At 36.7% G+C, this 20,265-nt stretch overlaps 1 protein-coding gene across 24 annotated transcripts in view, besides 1 other annotated feature; it reads left to right on the plus strand.

Annotated features, from left to right (window-relative positions):
• PTPN13 (protein tyrosine phosphatase non-receptor type 13) overlaps nt 1-20,265 on the plus strand; it is a 220,847-nt gene that overhangs the window by 48,925 nt on the left and 151,657 nt on the right. The gene's annotated exons all lie outside the window — the stretch shown is intronic.
• Nucleotides 14,808-14,897: a silencer, noted in NCBI's record as "silent region_15548". NCBI's record gives its function as "represses an Ori minimal core promoter by ATAC-STARR-seq in GM12878 lymphoblastoid cells {active_cell/tissue: GM12878}" and the evidence as "EXISTENCE:reporter gene assay evidence [ECO:0000049][PMID:35858748]".

Consider the following 20,265-nt stretch of genomic DNA (forward strand, 5'->3'; position numbering starts at 1 on the left):
GCCAGGTTCATTGTCTACATTAAAAAGTTCTAAGAGATACCAGCAAGTGTCCTGCAAAAATTGAAAGACCACATTGTGTTTCTTATATTCTTTGAAAGACAAATTTGGATCAGATTGTAGAGAACAGCTTATATAATTATTTCACTGTATTTCATTTTTATAGTCTTATTATAAGTGAAAATGACAAATTACTATAGAAAGCTAAGACAAATATCAAATTTCACTCCTAAAAAAGTGCCTAAAAATTAGAATTTATAGACAACTTTAAAAAATCTTATTAGGGAATAAATCTGTTAAATAATATCAGCAAAGTTTAGTGAATATTATGTTCTGTTTTTTATACAATTACTTTTATTGCATAAATACTTTCAGGAAAATTATCTTGCTACTAAAAGAAAAAAGTGTGTATGAGAAATACCTACATATACTCAGAACCACACACACTTCTTTTATTTATGGAATCAAACTCTTAGAGCTGAAAAGATTTTAATCTGTTCGGTCTAATCATTTTAGAGATAAGGAAACAGCCCAGTTTAAATGACTTATAGGAGTTAGTATTGGCAGAGCAGAAATAATGTAACTATTTTAAAGCAAATCATTATGAACTTACACCTATTTAGAGCTATAAAATCACTTCATGTGTACATAACAATGAAGTTTAAAAATTGATAACACTCTTATCAATACAGCAACAGGAGGTTTACAAAAACAGTATCAGGTGACATGATTTCAGATTCTATAGTTATTTAAAAAAATAATAAGGGAAAATGATGAACAAAGTTGTTGAAGTATTTAACAACTTACATGAAATGGACATCTTAAAAGATACAAACAGCTCACTCAAGAAAAAAATAGACAACCCGAATTGTCCTATATCTATTAAGATGATTGATTTTTTTTTTTTTCTTTTCGGAGACAGAAATCTCACTCTGCCACTCAGGCTGAAGTGCAGTGGCGTGATCTTGGCTCACTGTAACCTCTGCTTCCCAGGTTCAAGCTATTCTGCCTCAGCCTCCCAAGTAGCTGGGACTACAGGTGTGTGCTACCACGCTCGGCCAAATTTTTTTTGTGTGTATTTTTAGTAGAGATGGAATTTCGCCATGTTTGCCAGGCTGGTCTTGAACTCCTGCCCTCAAGCGACCCGCTCGCATCAGCCTCGCAAAGTGTTAGGATTACAGGCATGAGCCACCACACCTGGCCAAGGTGATTTAATTTATAGTTTAAAATACCCCACAAAGAAAATTCCAGGCCCATGTTGTTTCACTAGGGAATTCTACTAAAAATATAAGGAAGAAATAATAGCACTTCTATACAAACACTAATAGAACATTGAAGAGAAGGATGTACTTCCCAACTCATTCATTCTATGAGGGCAGCATTACTATGATTTCAAAATCAGACAAATACATTAGAGAAAAACTACAAACCAATATGTCTTATGAACATAGATGCAGAAATTCTTGAGAAAACTTTAATTAATTGAATCCAACAATATATAAAAATGATAGCACCTCATGATCAAATGGATCCTAGGAATGCAAGATTAGTTGAACTTTCACAAATCAATCAATATAATTGACCATAGTAATGACTAAAAAAGAAAACTATATTATCTTTTTAATAGATGCAGAAAAACATTTGGTAACATCTAATATCCATTTCAATCTTAAAAAGCTCTCAACTCAACGCCGGGCTTGGCAGCTCACACCTGTAATCCCAGCACTTTGGGAGGCTGAGGCAGAAGAGACTGCTTGAGTTCAGGAGTTCGTGACCAGCCTGCGAAACACGGTGAAACCTCATCTCTACAAAAAATACAAAAATTAGTCAGACGTGGTGACATATACCTGTAGTCCCAGCTATTCAAGAGGATGACTTGAGCCCAGGAGGTTGCAGTGAGCCAAGATAGCACCACTGCACTCCACCCTGGGCAACAGAGTTAGGCCCCGTCTCCAAAAACAAACAAACAAACAAACAAGCAAACTCTCATCTAGGAATAGAAAGGAACTACCTCAACCTAATAACGGGTATCTACACATCATACTTACTGGTAAAACATTGACTCTTCCCCTAAGATCAGGAACAGGTCAAGGGTATCTGCTCTCATTACTTATATTGAACATTGTATTCTAAGTTCTGACTAGTACAAATAAAGCAAGACAAATAAAAGGCATCCAGATTAGAAAAAAGCAGAACTGTTTGTATTTGAATATGGCATGTTCTATGTAGAAAATTTGATAGAATCCAGAAAAGCCACTTGAACTCATAGATGTTTAACAAGTTGAAAGATACAAGATCAATATGCAAAAAACAACTTTTACCATTTAGAAATGATAAAAAAAGTAAAATATGGAATACAAAATTTAACAATATGAAAAAATTAAGAATAAACCTGACAAAAGATATGAAGGCCTATGAAACAAAAAGTAAAACACAGTGCTGAGAGAAATTAAAGAACACCTAAATAGAGAGCTATGGTGTGTTCCTGTATCGAGAGACTCAGTATTGTTCAGATGTCAGTTTTCTCTAAATTGATCTCTAGATTCAGTGCAATTCCAACAGGCTATATTTTTTTTTGTAGAAAATGACAAGTGGATTGTAAAATTCATGTGGAAATTCAGTGGACTTAGAGTAGCCAAAACAACTTTGAAAAAAGAACAATGTTTAAGGACTCTCACTACCTGATCTCAAGATTTATTATAAAGCTACAGTAATCAAAATAAACAACTAGATCAATTGAACATAACAGCATCCAGAAATAAATCCACACCTATATGGTCAATTGATTTTCAAGAAAGAAAGATGCCCTTTTCAATGAATGGTGCTGTAATAATTGGATATCCATATATCAAAAATTAAAGTTCTTAAAAAAAAATGAGACGGTAGTTGTGTCCCTGAGTTAGGCAGAGATATCTTAAATAAGACAAATGTATGATCCATAAAAGAAAAAAAAAGATACAGTGGACTTCATCAGAATTAAAAACATCCACTCTTCTAAACATATTATTAAGAGAATGAAAGGAAAAGACCTACACTGGGAGAAAATATTTGCAATTTTTTTTTTTTTTTTTTTTTTTTAAAGACAGAATCTCCCTCTGTTGCCTAGGCTGGAGAACAGTGGTGAGATCTCGGCTCACTGCAACCTCCACATCCCAGGTTCAAGGGATCCTCCCACCTCAGCCTCTCAAGTAGCTGGAATCACAGGAGTGTGCCACCATACCGGGCTATTTTCTCGTATTTTAGTAAAGACGGGATTTTGCCATCTTGGCCAGGCTGGCCTGGAACTCCTGGCCTCAAATCATCGGCCTGCCGCAGCCTCCCAAAGTGCTGGGATGACAGGCACGAGCCACTGTGCCCAGCCAGCAACTGGAAGTTTCATAGACTGCTAGTGAAAATGTAAAATGATACAGCTTTACATTTGGGAAACTGACAGTTTCTTTAAAAGTTAAATATACCTGCCATATACACTCCTAGTTACTTACTTAAAAGAGATGAAACTGTGTGTCCATACAAAGACTTGTACATGAATGTTCATAGCACATTTCTTTGTAGTAACCAACAGCTGGAAAAAATACAAATGTCTGTCAACAAGTGAATAGATAAACAAATTGTGATATATTCATATAATGAAACGCTACACATCAATAAAAAGGAGTGAACTATTGATACATGCAACAACATCGATTAATCTCAAAATAATTATGTTGAGTGAAGGAAGTCAGACAAAAAAATAGTACATTCTATATGATTCTAATCTAAAATTCTAAAGCATACAAACTAAGCTGTAGTGAGTGACAAAGCAGATCAGTGGTTGTTTAGGGATGAGAGATGATGATGGGGATGAAGCAGGGAATTATAAAAGAGCATGAGGAAACTTTTAGAGGTGATGGATATATTAATTATCTTGATTTGATTGCCATAATAGTTTCACAGGCATATTCATATGTCAGAACATCAAATTGTACTCTTTTAGTATGTGCAATTATTGTATGTCAGTTATTCCCTAACAAATCTGCTTAACGAAAAGGAATATCAAACATTTTTTCAAAAACTGTTTAAATTTAGAGCTTGATATTTTTTCTTACTAATTTTAAGCTGTGTTTTTAAAAGAAAAATGTTTTTCAGTCAAATGCTGTACCTGACTTTTTTGAGCCAAATGTTCATTTTTCTCTTTGTAGAGCATCAGGAGTAGACTACTCACCTTTAAAAAATAATATATGATAATATAATTTTCTAATAAGTATATTTAAATTAGTTTATTGAATTTAGTTTTTAAAATGACTAAAAACATTTTTAAAAATGAGAAAAATTTTAAAAATTTTAAAAAACATTTTTAAAAATGAGAAAACGTTAAAAGTAGGCAATGTTATGGGATTGTGTTCCTCAAACATTCATGAAGTCCTAACCCCTAATAACCTCCAAATAGGACTGTATCAAAGATAGGGTTTTCAAAGACCTTATAATGTTAAAATACAGTTATTAAGGTGGGGCCTAATCCAATATGACTAGTGTCCTTATAAGAAGAGGAAATTAGGACGTAAACACATACAGAAGGAAAACTGTGAGAAGACATAGAGAGAAGATGGCCATCTATAAGCCAAGAAGAGAGTAGTCAGAAGAAACCAACCCTGCCAGCACCTTGATTTTGCACTTTTACAAAAGTACAGAATTGTGAGAAAATAAATTTCTCTAACTTAAACCGTCCATTCTGTGGTACTTTGTTATAGCAGCCCCCAAAAATGAATACAGGCAGAATAAAAAAAATTAATAAAACATCTCAAAATAAAATATATGGTAACTAAATTTAAAATCTCAATGGAGATCTTCAACAGATTAAACAGAATATCATTTTTATTTTTAATTATGCTTACATACTAGTTATTTTTGAGGTACATGTGATATTTTGAAAAAAGCGTACTCTGTGTAATGGTCAAGTCAGGGTAGCTGGGTTATTCATCACCTCAAGCATTTATCATTTCTTTGTGTTAAGAACATTCAAATTCTACTCTTTTAGTTATTCTGAAATATGCAATAAATTGTTAATTGTAGTTGCCCTATTGTGCTACTGAACATTACATCTTATTTTTTCTGTCTAACTGTATTTTTATACCCATTAACCATCCTCTCTTTATCCCCCCTCCATACTATCTTTCCCAGCTTCTAGTAACCATCATTCTACTCTCTATTTCCATGAGTTCAATTTTATTTTTGAAGCTCCCGCCTATGAGTGAGAACATGTGAAATTTGTCTTTCTGTACCTGGCTTGTTTCACTTAACATAATGTGCTCCCGTTCCATCCATGTTGTTGCAAATGAAAGGATTTTATTCTTTTAATATGGCCAAATAATATCTGTTGTGTATATATGCCCCATTTTCTTTACCCATTCATCTGTTGGTAGATACTTGAGATGATTCCGTAACTTGGCTATGGTGAATAGTGCTGCCATAAACATAGGAGTGAAGATATCTCTTTGATACACTGATTTCCTTTGTTTTGGATAGATACCTAGCAGTGGGATTGCTGAATCATATGGTAGTTCCATTTTTATTTTTTTTGAGAAACCTCCATACTATTCTCCATAGTGGCTGTAGTAATTTACATTCCCACCAACAGTATACAAGGGTTCCCCTTTCTTCTTATCCTCACCAACATTTATGATTGCCTTTCTTTTTTATACAAGTCATTTTAACTAGGGTGAGATGATATTTCATTGTAGCTTTAAATTTATCTGATGATTAGTGATTTTGAGCATTTTTTATATACTTCTTGGCCATTTGTATGTCTTCCTTTGAGAAATGTCTATTCAGATCCTTTGCCCGCTTTTTAATGGGATTATTTGTTTTTTTCCTCTTAAGTTGTTTGTGTTCCTTATATATTCTGGTTATTAATCCATCAGATGGATAGTTTACAAATATTTCTCCCATTCTGTGGGTTGTCTTTTTGTTGTTTCCTTTCCTATGCAGAAGCTTTCTAGCTTGATGTGATCCTATTTGTTCAATTTTGCTATGAACAAAAATGGTTTGGTTGCCTATACTTCTGAGATCTTATGCAAGAAATCTTTGTGCACGCCAGTGACCTAGGGTTTTTCCCCAATGTTTTTTCCTAGTAGTTTCATTGTTCCAGGTCTTAGATTTAAGTCTTTAATCTATTTTGATTTGATTTTTGTATAAGGCAAGAGATAGGGGTCTATCTTCATTCTTCGACATATGGATATTAAGTTTTCCCAGCATCATTTATGAAGAGACTGTCCTTTCTCCAATATATGTTCCTGGCACCTTAGTCAAAACTGAGTTCACTGTGAATGTATGAATTTATTTCTGGGTTCTCTATTCTTTTTCCTTTGTCTATATGTCTGTTTCTATGTTAATACCATGCTGTTTTGGTATCTATAGCTTTGTATTATAATTTGAAGTCAGGTAATGTGATGCTTCCAGCTTTGTTCTTCTTGTTCAAGATTGCTCTGGCTATTCTGGGTCTTTTGTGACTCCATATAAATTTTAAGATTTTGTTCTATCTCTGTGAAGAATTTCATTGATATTCTAATAGTGATTGTATTGAATCTGTAGATTGCTTTAGACATGCGTCATGTCTAAACCTGCATCATATCTAAATGCATGTCAGCTACAGACATGCATCATGCTTGGATAATTTTTATTTAAACATTTAAGCAATATTGATTAGTCCAATCCATGAACATGGAATATCTTTCCATTTTTGTGTGTCCTCTTCAACTTATTTTCATCACTGTTTTGTTTTGTTTTGTTTTGTGGTAGAGTCTTGCTCTCTCACCCCGGCTGGAGTCCAATGGCATGATCTTGGCTCACTGCAGCCTCTGCCTCCCAGGTTCAAGTGATTCTCCCTGCCTCAGCCTTCCAAGTAGCTGGGATTGCAGGTGCCCACCACCACACCCGGATAATTTTTGTGTTTTTAGTAGAGATGGGGTTCTGCCATATTGGCCAGGCTGGTCTCGAACTCCTGACCTTAGGTAATCTGCCTGCCTCATCCTCCCAAAGTGCTGGGATTACAGGCATGAGCTACAACGTCTGGCCTTCATCACTGTTTTATAGGGTTGTGTTTTCGTTTTTTCGTTTCAAGATGGGGTCTCACTCTGTCACCCAGGTTGGAGTGCAGTGGCACAATCATGGCTCACTGCAGCCTCTGCCTCCTAGGCTCAAGTGATCCTCCCACCTCAGCCTCCCGAAGAGCTGGGACTACAGACATGTGTCATGCTTGGCTAATTTTTATATTTGTTTGCAGAGAAGGGGTTTCACCATGTTGCCCAGGCTATCCACCTGCCTCAGACTATCCACCTGCCTCAGTCTCCTAAAGGGCTGGAATTATAGGCATAAATCATTGCACCCAGCCTGTTTTATAGTTTTAATTGTAGAGATCTTCTGCTTCTTTGGTTAAGTTTATTCCTAGGTATTTTATTTTATTTGTAGCACTTGTAAATGGAATTACTTTCTTAATTTCTTTGTCATATTGTTTGCCATTGGTATAGAAATGCTACTGATTTTTGTATGTTGATTTTTGTATCCCTTAACTTTACTGAATTTGTTTATCGGTTCCAAAGGTTTTCTGGTAGAGTGTTTAGGTTTTTCTAAATACAAGATCATATCATTTGCTAATAAGAATAATTTGACTTCTTCTTTTCCAATTTGGATGTCCTTTATTATTTCTCTTATCTAATTGCTCTGGCTAGAACTTCTAGTTTTATTTTGAATAAAAGTGGAAGTAGACATCCTTACCTTGTTACAGATCTTAGAGGAAAAGCTTTCAGTTTTTCCCCATTCAGTATAATACTAGCTGTGAGTTTGTCATATATGGCCTTGATCATGTTGAGGTATGTTCCTTCTATACTGTTTGTCAAGAGTTTTTATCATGAAGAGATGTTGAATTTTATTGAATGCTTTTCCAGCATGTATTGAAATGATCATATAGTTTTTGTCTTTTATTCTGTTGATATGATATCTACCATTGATTGATTTGCCCATGTTGAACTATCCTTCCATTCCTGGGATGAATCCCACTTGAACATAATGAATGATCTTTTTATTGCATTGTTTAATTCAGATTGCTAGTATTTTGTTGAGGATTTTTGCATTTCTATTTATCAGTAATATTGGCCTGTAGTTAGTTTGTTTCCTTCCTCCTTCCATCCCTTCCTCCCTCCCTCCCTCCGTCCTTCCCTCCCTTCCTTCCTTCCTTCCTTCCTGATGTTTTTTTGTCTGGTTTTAATATCAGGGTAATACTGGCTTCAGAAAATGAGTTTGGAAGTATTCCCATCTCCTTGATTTATTGGAATCATTTGAGTAGAGTTGGTATTACTTTTTTAAATGTTTAGCAGAATTCAGCAGTGAAGCCATCAGGTCCTGGGCTTTTCTTTGATGGGAGACTTTTTATTACTGCTCTTATCTCATTACTTGTTATTGGTCTATTGTTATTTGGATTTCTTCATGCTTCACTCTTGGTTGGGTGTATATTTCTAGGAATTGATCCATTTCTTCTAGGTTTTCCAATTTATTGGGATATTGTTTCTCCTAATAGTCTCTAATGATCCTTTGAATTTCTGTGATATCAGTTGTAATGTCCCCTTTTTCATCTCTGCTTTTATTTAATTGGGTCTTGTCTCTTTTTTTCTTACCTTGGCTAAAAGTTTTTCAATTTTGTTTATCTTTTCAAAAAACCAATTAGCCAGATGCAGTGGCACACATCTGTAGTCCAAGCTACACAGGAGGCTGAGGCAGGAGAATTGGATCAGCCGAGACTAGGAGTTTGAGGCTTCAGTGCACTATGATCACACCTGTGAATAGCCACTGTATTCTAGCTTGGGCAACATAGTGATGAACCATCTGTTAAAAACAAAAAACAAAAAAATCCAGTTTTTTTGTTTGGTTGATCTTTTGTATTTTTTTAATCTCAATTTTAATAATTTTTGCTCTGATCTTTCTTTTCTTCTAATTTTGAGTTTGGTTTGCTATTGCTTTCTCTTTAAAAGTTATTTTAGTTATTATTTTTGATGGGTTTTTCTTTTAGTCTACTAAAATATGCATGATTTATATACAACAATTACAGTGTTAGAGTATTCTGTATTTTTTATGTACTTATTATCACTAGTGAATTTTATTCTGTCAGATGATTTCTTGTTGCTCATAAACATTCTTCCAGATTGAAGACCTCTCTTTAGCATTTTTTGTAAGGCACATCTAGTGCTACAAAATCCATCAGCTTTTGTTTGTCTGGGGAAGTCTTTATCTCTCCTTCATGTTTGAAGGATAATTTTGCTGGATATAATATTCTAGGTTGGAACAGTTTTTTCCTTCAGCATTTTGAATGGGTCATTCCATTTCCTCCTGGCCTATGAGGTGTCCAGTAGGAATTCTGCTGTCAGAAATGTCAGAGCTCCTTTATATGTTATTTGTATATTTTCTCTTGCTGCTTTTAGGATCCTTTCTTTATCCTTCTCCTTTGAGTTTGATAATTATATACCTTGAGGTAGTTGTATTTGGGTTAAATCTTCTTGGTGTTCTGTGATCTTTTCATACTTGGATATTCATACTGTAGGTTTGAAGAGTTCTCTGTAACTAAACTTTCTATTGCACTGTCTGTCTTTACATCCTCTTTAAGGCCAATAATTCTTAGATTTGCCCTTTTGAGGTTATTTTCCAGATCTCGTAGCCATGCTTTATTCTTTTTTATTCTTTCTTATTTTTCCCCCGACTGTGTATTTCCATATAGCCTGTTGTTGAGCTCATCAGTTTTTCCTTCTGCTTGATCAGTTCTGCTGTTGAGATTCTTTGATGATTTTTCAGTTTGTCATTTGAATTTTTCAGTTCCAGAATTTCTACTTGATTTTTAAAATTTTAATCTCTTAGTTAAATTTCTCTGATAGAATTCTGAATTCCTTCTCTTGTTTTCTTGATGTTCATTGAGTTTCCTCCAGACAGCTATTTTGAATTTCCTATCTGAAAGGAATACCTTCATCACTCCAAGATTGGTCACTAGTGCCTTATTTAGTCCATTTGGTGAAGTCATGTTTCCTTGTGTGTCCCTGATGCTTTCGGATGTTCATTGATGTCTGGGCATTGAAGAGTTAGGTATTTATTCCAGTCTTTGCAGTCTAGTCTTGTTTGTACCCAACTTTCTTGACAAGGCTTTCCATGAATTCAAAGGGGATTGAGTATTGTGATCTAAGCCTGCAATTACTGCAGCCATTTCAGCACTAGGGGGCGCCCTAAGCTCCGGAGCGCCTCAACTCTTTTTTTTTTTTTTGATTTTGTGTTTATTGTTTTTTATTAACCATTCACAGAAAAACATGCACCTAATATGCAACTTGAAAGTCCAGTTCACAACTCATGATTCAAAAAGCAGAAATTTCAAACCATTGTTTTCAGAAGTCCATAATATAAAATACTCCAAACATAAATTCAACATTGCATGCAGCAACTGGCCATTTGCTTCAAAAGAAGTGATCACAGTGTGTATATATTTAAAAAGAGAAACCTTTATTTGTATTATTTTTTAAAAAACTAAGAAGAAATACAACTTCAGAAAATCTTTTCCAGAATAAATATTTCTAGAAAATTGAAAAGTAACTAAAGACATTGAAAAGCAGAGCTTTATTAAGAAACATCTGTGGTGCAGATACGAATATTTAACTTAAAGCTGTGATGTGTACCTAAACTTCAATGCATAAAATGTAAAGTTTAACATATCAAAACTCCAGGATTTTTAGCTTTGGATCATCTTAAAACTATAAGATAGCTCTTATCACATTTAAAGCAGTGTGTAGAGGGAAATTTATAGCACTAAATGCCCACAAGAGAAAGCAGGAAAGATCTAAAATTGACACCCTAACATCACAATTAAAAGAACTAGAGAAGCAAGAGCAAACACATTCAAAAGCTAGCAGAAGGCAAGAAATAACTAAGACCAGAGCAGAACTGAAGGAGATAGACACACAAAAAAACCCTTCAAAAAAATCAATGAATCCAGGAGCTGGTTTTTTGAAAAGATCAACAAAATTGATAGACCGCTAGCAAGACTAATAAAGGAGAAAAGAGAGAAGAATCAAATAGACACAATAAAAAATGATAAAGGGGATATCACCACTGATCCCACAGAAATACAGACTACCATCAGAGAGTACTATAAATTTCCCTCTACACACTGCTGTAAATGTGTCCCAGAGATTCTGGTATGTTGTGTCTTTGTTCTCATTGGTTTCAAAGAACATCTTTATTTCTGCCTTCATTTCGTTATGTACCCAGTAGTCATTCAGAAGCAGGTTGTTCAGTTTCCATGTAGTTGAGCGGTTTTGAGTGAGTTTCTTAATCCTGAGTTCTAGTTTGATTGCACTGTGGTCTGAGAGTTTGTTGTAATTTCTGTTCTTTTACATTTGCTGAGGAGTGCTTTACTTCCAACTATGTGGTCAATTTTGGAATAAGTGTGATGTGGTGCTGAGAAGAATGTATATTCTGTTGATTTTGGGTGGAGAGTTCTGTTGATGTCTATTAGGTCTGCTTGGTGCAGAGCTGAATTCAATTCCTGGATATCCTTGTTAACTTTCTGTCTCATTGATATGTCTAATGTTGACAGTGGGGTGTTAAAGTCTCCCATTATTATTGTGTGGGAGTCTAAGTCTCTTTGTAGGTCTCTAAGGACTTGCTTTATGAATCTGGGTGCTCCTGTATTGGGTGCATATATATTTAGGACAGTTAACTCTTCTTGTTGAATTGATCCCTTCAACATTATGTAATGGCCTTCTTTGTCTCTTTTGATCTTTGTTGGTTTAAAGTCTGTTTTATCAGAGACTAGGATTGCAACCCCTGCCTTTTTTTGTTTTCCATTTGCTTGGTAGATCTTCCTGCGTCCCTTTATTTTGAGCCCATGTGTGTCTCTGCACATGAGATGGGTCTCCTGAATACAGCACACTGATGGGTCTTGATTCTTTATCCAATTTGCCAGTCTGTGTCTTTTAATTTGAGTATTTAGCCCATTTACATTTAAGGTTAATATTGTTATGTGTGAATTTGATCCTGTCATTATGATGTTAGCTAGTTATTTTGCTCGTTAGTTGATGCAGTTTCTTCCTAGCATCGATGGTCTTTACAATTTGGCATGTTTTTGCAGTGGCTGGTACCGGTTGTTCTTTTCCATGTTTAGTGCTTCTTTCAGGAGCTCTTTTAGGGCAGGCTTGGTGGTGACAAAATCTCTCTGCATTTGCTTGTCTGTAAAGGATTTTATTTCTCCTTCACTTATGAAGCTTAGTTTGGCTGGATATGAAATTCTGGGTTGAAAATTCTTTTCTTTAAGAATGTTGAATATTGGCCCCCACTCTCTTCTGGCGTGTAGAGTTTCTGCTGAGAGATCAGCTGTTAGTCTGATGGGCTTCCCTTTGAGGGTAACCCGACCTTTCTCTCTGGCTGCCCTTAACATTTTTTCCTTCATTTCAACTTTGGTGAATCTGACAATTATGTGTCTTGGAGTTGTTCTTCTCGAGGAGTATCTTTGTGGCATTCTCTGTATTTCCTGAATTTGAACGTTGGCCTGCCTTGCTAGGTTGGGGAAGTTCTCCTGGATAATATCCTGCAGAGTGTTTTCCAACTTGGTTCCATTCTCCCCATCACTTTCAGGTACACCAATCAGACGTAGATTTGGTCTTTTGACATAGTTCCATATTTCTTGGAGGCTTTGTTAGTTTCTTTTTACTCTTTTTTCTCTAAACTTCTCTTCTCGCTTCTTTTCATTTATTTGATCTTCAGTCACTGATACCCTTTCTTCCAGTTGATCTAATCGGCTACTGAAGCTTGTGCATGCATCACGTAGTTCTTGTGCCATGGTTTTCAGCTCCTTCAGGTCATTTAAGGACTTCTCTACACTGGTTATTCTAGTTAGCCATTTGTCTAATCTTTTTTCAAGGTTTTTAGCTTCTTTGCGATGAGTTCCAACTTCCTCCTTTAGCTCAGAGAAGTTTGATCATCTGAAGCCTTCTTCTCCCAACTCGTCAAAGTCATTCTCCATCCAGCTTTGTTGCGTTTCTGGCAAGGAGCTGTGCTCCTTTGGAGTGGGAGAGGCCCTCTGGTTTTTAGAATTTTCAGCTTTTCTGCTTTGTTTTATCCCCATCTTTCTGGTTTTATCTACCTTTGGTCTTTGATGATGGTGACGTACAGATGGGGTTTTGGTGTGGATGTCCTTTCTGTTTGTTAGTTTTCCTTCTAACAGTGAGGACCCTCAGCTGCAGGTCTGTTGGAGTTTGCTGGAAGTCCACTCCAGACCCTGTTTGCCAGGGTATCAGCAGCAGAGGCTGCAGAACAGCAAATGTTGCTGCCTGATCGTTCCTCTGGAAGCTTTGTCTGAGAGGAGTACCCGGCTGTGTGAGGTGTCAGTCTGCCCCTACTGGAGGGTGCCTCCCAGTTAGGCTACTCGGGGGTCAGGGACCCACTTGAGGAGGCAGTCTGTCTGTTCTCAGATCTGAAACTCCATGCTGGGAGAACCACTGCTCTCTTCAAAGCTGTCAGACAGGGACATTTAAGTCTGCAAAGGTTTCTGCTGCCTTTTGTTTGGCTATGCCCTGCCCCCAGAGGTGGAGTCTACAGAGGCAGGCAGGCCTCCTTGAGCTGGGGTGGGCTCCACTCAGTTCGAGCTTCCTGGCTGCTTTGTTTACCTACTCAAGCCTCAGCAATGGCAGGCGCCCATCCCCGAGCCTCGCTGCCGCCTTGCAGTTTGATCTCAGACTGCTGTGCTAGCAGTGAGCGAGGCTCTGTGGGCGTGGGAGCCTCCAAGCCAGGAGCAGGATATTATCTCTTGGTGTGCCGTTTGCTAAGACCGTTGGAAAAGTGCAGTATTAGGGTGGGAGTGACCCAATTTTCCAGGTGCCATCTGTCACAGCTTCCCTTGGCTAGGAAAGGGAATTCCCCGACCCCTTGCACTTCCCTGGGTAAGGTGATGCCTCGTCCTGCTTCGGCTCATGCTCGGTGGGCTGCACCCACTGTCCTGCACCCACTGTCTGACAAGCCCCAGTGAGATGATCCCGGTACCTCAGTTGGAAATGTCTCTGCATTTTCTGCGTCGCTCACGCTGGGAGCTATAGACTGGAGCTGTTCCTATTCGGCCATCTTGGAACTGCCCTCACTGCAACTCTTGCAGACCCCTAAATACACTGCCTTGGTGAACTTGGATAAGATAAGGAAGATTCCCTAGGTTAGCAGGCAAAGTCACTTGCTCTCTTTTCTCTCTTTTCCCCAGTCAGAAGGAACCTCTCTCTGTACTAGGCTGCCTGGAGTTGAGGGAGAGGTGACACAGACTTTCCTGTGATCACCACAGCTGACACTACAGAGTCTCACCTGAAGGCTTGCAGACCAGCACAGTACTGGAGTTCACCAGTACTGGTAGCCACTACCGCCTAGCTGCTGCTGATGTTTATTCAAGGACCATGACCACTTTAGTCAGCAGGTGGTGAATCCTGCTGGGACTGAGTCTCTTCCATCAGGACAGTGCATTTTCTTCTGGCCCAGAATGGGTCTAGAAACACCATCTAGGAGCAAAGACTTGGAATTGGGGGCTTCGGGAATCTGCTAAGCTGGTGCCCAAGTTGCAAGACAAAGTCCTCTGTGCTCTTCCCACTCCATCCTCCACATAGAAGATGTCTCCCCAAGAGCTGCACTGCCTGGAACTGGGGAGGGGTGATACAGGCACTCCCTTAGCTGCCACAGTTGGTTTTGCCCTGGGTTGCATTCCAAGTCCACTGCCTCTGAGACTAGTGCAGCACCAGCGTTTGCCTGAGGACTGCAGTCCTTGTGGCCTGACTGCCACTCAAATTTATTCTGTGATCCAGGCCACTTTAGTCAGCTGGTGGGGAAGCCCCACTGGCCTGAAACTGGGTTCTTCTCGCTGGAGTTGGGGATTCCCCTGTGGCCCACTGGTAGTCTGAATGCTCCCTCCATAGGCATTGACGGAATTCCTACCTGTGTTGTGTTCTGCTATGACAGAGCAGCACTGAGCTCCATTGTAAAGTCCCCCACTAACTTCACTCTCTCCTCCATGCACATAGACTCTGTCTCCTCAATGCACTGCCTGGGATTGCTGTAGTCAATGCAAGACTGTCTCTCCTACATTCTTGAATGCCTCTTTCCTTGATAAAAAGTACCTGGTTTGAACATAGGTACTTTTATCACTCACCTGATCTTTTTGTTCTTATGAAGATGCTTTCTTGCATGGATGGTTGTTCAATTTAGTGTTCCTGATGGGGGATTATTGCTCAGGGTTCTATCTGGCCATCTTGCTCTGTCTCCTACTTCCTGGTTATTTTTAAAAACTTCTGTTTTCTTTTCAAAGAGAAAATTAGTAAAATAGAAAATAGTGCTGAAGAGATCACCCTAATACTAAAAATATGAGAGAGTTTAGGTTTATGAAGCATTCAATGAGAAGGTCCAACATACCTCTGAGTTCCAGAAGGAAAACCAAGAGGATAGGAAACAGAACAATTAATGAAGATATAATAGTTGATAATTTTTGAGAGCTGATAAAATATATAGATCTTCAAATTCTAGAAGCTTAAGGCACAGTCAAAATTTTAAAAAAAATTCTACACGTAGATTAATGGGATTGGAAATACAGGACACCATAAACAAGGAGAAGGTTTTTAAAGCAGTCAGAGAGAAAAAGAAAGCTGAATTATCTACAAAGAAAAAGGAATTAGCTAAGAGCAGACTGAACAGTAAAAATAAGGTCAGAATTTGGTAGAATTAAATAAATTCTTAAAACTACTTAATTTCACTAAGAAATAAAATCTTAAAACTGCTGTGAGGATACATCATAATTATTTTAAGGAAAAAGAGAAAATATTATCACTATAACAACCTAGAATAACATTGTCTAATAGAAATATCATAAACATCATATATAATTTAATGTTCTCTATGACCTGCATTAGAAGGATGAAAAGAGATAGATGAAATTGATTTCTGTATTTTATTTAATCCAATATACTAAAAATATCATTTTCATATGTAACCAGTATGAAAAAGTGTTAATAATATGTTGTACACTTTATTTGTACTAAGTCATCAAAATCTAACACTCATAACATATGCCAATTCAGACTCTAAATTTTATCAAAAATATTTATATTTCATAAAAAATACAGATGAAAAAGTAATTTACATACCTAAGTTGTTACAAGCATACTTAGAAGTTTTCCAATATCTGATTAAGTATTCATCTGAAATTAAATTTTAAATAAATTAAAAACTCAATTCCTCAGTTTCTGAAGCCACATTTCAAATTTTTAAAAGTGACCAGGTGTAGTGGCTCACACCTGTAATCCCAGCACTTTGGGAGGCCAAGGTGGACGGATCACTTGATGTCAGGAGTTCAAGACCAGCCTGGCCAACATGGTGAAACCCCGTCTCTACTAAAAATACAAAAATTAGCTGGGCATGGTGGTGCACGCCTGTAGTCCCAGCTACTCAGGAGGCTGAAGCAGGAGAATTACTTGAACCTGGGAGGCAGAGGTTGCGGTGAGCCGAGATGGTGACACCGCACTCCAGCCTGGGTGACAGAGTAAGACTCAAAGTCTCAAACTACAACCACAACAACAACAGAAAAAAAAAAAAGAAAAAAACTTAAAAGCCACACGTGCCTGATAGCCACTGCATTGGAATGTACAGATAGAATTTGATGTCTTTCTAAACTTTGGTTCAAGATTAAGGTCAAAACAAAACATTTTCATATGAAAACTGTGAGTACTTATGTATTTCAAGAAGAAGGAAATATAACCCAGAAGGAAGTAAAAGGTTCAAGAAGGAACAATAAGCAAAATAATCAGTCAACTTGATGATCAATCTAAGCAATCAATGGCTGTATAAAACATCAACAGCAATCATCTCAAATTTAAAATTATAAGTAAAACAGTAGTATGTGAGACTGATGTCGGTGATAGGAGTTAAAGCAGTCTAAGGGTCGATCTGTTTATGAGAATAGCAATAATTTGCCTTAGAGTTTGCATAGTTCAAATATCCTTAAAGTTTTTAGCAATAATCACAAAATAAAAAAGAAAGTGTAAAACTTCCCATCTGGTAGAAACAAAGGAGAATAAGTAACACGATTAAAGCATAAGAAGAGAGCCAAAGCATGAACTTCAAATTGAATTCCTGAGGTTTTTTTTTAAAAAAAAGACTTTATAGGAAATATAGAAAGTTTTTATGGATTAAAAGTTTTAAAGTAAATCTTTGTACAGGGTATGCAGCTTTTAAAAGATCAAATTCTAACTAGTGCCTTAATTATTATATTCCTTTTTATCTATAGCCATAATTTTGTTGATTAAGAGGGTGTATTAGTTGTCTTTGACATGCTACATCTTGCCCTGCATTCGTAACTCCAGAATTAACATGTCCTTAAGTTAAATGTGTTTGAACTGTGTGAAATTACGCATTTGTTCCCTGGAAACAAACTATAAAATACAAAATTAAATTTAATATATAACATGCTTAATATGAATAATGTAGGTTATTTGATAAGTATATGACACACTTGTAGCAAACTACCCCTTCCCCACAAACACAGTCAATACACTGTGTTTTAATTTAAAACTATTTTGACTTCAGATGTTCTAAACAGCCAGTTTTATATATTTAAATAGCCATGCAGTTAGATAGGAGAGTTGCTACAGTTCATCTTCTCTAGTCCTATCCTTGGTGATAAATGTTACTTTTACTCACTATATTTATTGTTTAAATTTTTATACTTAACAGAGACTTTATTATTGTTGAGGTATAACATATATTGCAAACAGCATTATTCTTAATTGTACAGCCTGATTAATTTTATGAATGTATGCACTCATACAATTACCACCCAGATTCAGAGCATTTCAGCACCTAGAAGTCTCCCTCATGTTCCCTCCTAGTCAATTCTTGTTTACCAAGGGTAATCACTGCTATGACATATCACACAGATAATATTTGCCTGGTTTTGGACATCATAAAAATAGAATCATACAATGTAAACTCTTGGGTGTCTGACTTCTTTTACTCAACATTCTGTGAGACATTCAGATTTTGTGACTAAGGCTTTTACAGAAAACATTTTACAAGTATTTCTCAATATCTTTTCTCCAATATAGAAATTAAAAAAGAGCTTTACACCTTGTATCATTTAGTAACAAGTTAAAATTTTACTTTCTTGGGGTGATGTGTGTCAGTCATAGTTAGCATTTTTATAAGAAATGTATACTATTTTAAAAAAATTGAATAGTTTACCATTCAAATAATCTTCCTTCCTCCTTTTCTTTTTGAGAAGGAAAATGTCTTTACAAGGTAAGTGGCAAGGCAGAGAGGGGTGAGGGAGTTATGTCAATAGCAGCAGAGAATGGCATTAGTGATCAGAAAAATATTTTTCATGAGTTCCTACAGATCATGTTTACATGGAACCATGTCATCACAAGTCAAAGCCAGTTCCGCTCTGCAAAGATATATGTATTTTCCTCTGGAAGCTAAAAATATACACTATTCCTCATTGACCTTTTCATCCAATTCTCCAAAAATGAAATCAATGCCAGTCATCATCTTTGATATTATAGGTGTTTCTGTCTTTGTGTAAATTTCAGGCCCTTGAAAGTAAAATGAAATCACTGAGTTTATTCTTTAAATTTTGTGTCTGCTCCTCTTACACCCCCAACCCCAAGATTTATGCAGATTGCAGAGATGGAAGAAAAAAGATCTCTTTTAACTTGAAACTTTGTCTGCACTTGCAAAAATAAAAAAAAATTTAAAACCTGCTGCTTTATAAAAGTCCTTTACTGTAAAACTTTTTTTTACTGGTAATTATCTCTGTTGTAGTTTATTTTGTCTGGCAAAATGTAATGTGGCAGCTGTAAAATCTACAGAGGCTTAATGAAATTGCTAGGTGGCAACAGAAATGCTAGCATTTTAAAAGGCTTAGCACATCATTCCAAAATTGCTTTGACAAAATTGTTAAGCTAACAATAAGATCAAGTTTTTAAATAGAATTTACCATTCATGGTTAACATTTTTATAGCTGCTTTAATAGGGTGGTCAAATAAGATATGATTGTTATATTTTTATTTCTTATTTATTTCTTATTTATTTATTTGAGACGGAGTCTCACTCTGTCACCAGGCTGGAGTGTGGTGGTGCAATCTCGGCTCACTGTAACCCCCGCCTCCCAAGTTCAAGTGATTCTCCTGCCTCAGCCTCCCAAATACCTGGAACTATAAGCACGCACCACCACGCCCAGCTAATTTTTATAATTTTAGTAGAGATGGGATTTTGCCATGCTGGCCAGGATGGTCTCCATCTCTTGACCTCATGATCCACCTGCCTCGGCCTCCCAAAGTGCTGGGATTACAGGCATGAGCCACCGTGCCCAGCTGTTATATTTTTAAAAAGAAACCACTTTTAAGCAAACTGTCGTTTAGAAGTCTGCAGCTAAAATATTACACATACATAGAGTAGTTTTGCTCTCAAAGTTTGGATACTCTTCAGGAAAATAAAAAATTGATATTAATTCCATGACCTTGAGGTACTGGTTATATGCCTAATAATGCATTTGTATATCAGACAGGGTGAGAGATTAAAGGTGCTCACCTCATACGTTATGGATATTGGTTTATAGAACGTGTTGGATAACAGGCACTTACTACAGCTACTTGGAAGCAGAAGCAGGAGGATTGCTTGAGCCCAGAAGTTTGAGGATGCAGCCAGCTATGATTGCACCACTGCTCTCCAGCCTGGGTGACAGAGTGAGACCCCAACTCTTAAAAATAAATGAGTAAATATAGAAAGTGTTACAGAAGAAACAAAATGCTTAGGAAGTTCATTTGTAGTTTGCTTTACTTTGGGAATGAGATAGAAAAAGCCAAATGAAATTAATGTTTAATTAAGTGGTGTAGGGGAAAAGAAGTATCTCTTTCTTACCCATTGCTAGGTTCATGGCTGAGGCCCCTATAATAAAAGACAGATTAACAAGAGAAAAGCATACAAATTTATGGTATATAAGTTTTGTATAACACAAGAGCCTTTGGAATTGAAAACCCGAAGGTACAATTAAACCCATGGGGGGGTTTGCACTGTTTGATGGAGAAGTGGATGAAGTTGAGAGTATAATTGGATAACAAAGTGTGATCTAATGGTAATAAACTGGGGGAAACTTAGCAAGGCCTTTTTGATCAGATTCTTCTTTGCGTCCCTGTGTCTTCAGAGATGAGGATGTTTCTTTCCTCCAGCTATACAAAGGGCACCTCTTGA

Source organism: Homo sapiens, chromosome 4 (genome assembly GCF_000001405.40).
Source record: "Homo sapiens chromosome 4, GRCh38.p14 Primary Assembly".
Taxonomy (NCBI): domain Eukaryota; kingdom Metazoa; phylum Chordata; class Mammalia; order Primates; family Hominidae; genus Homo; species Homo sapiens.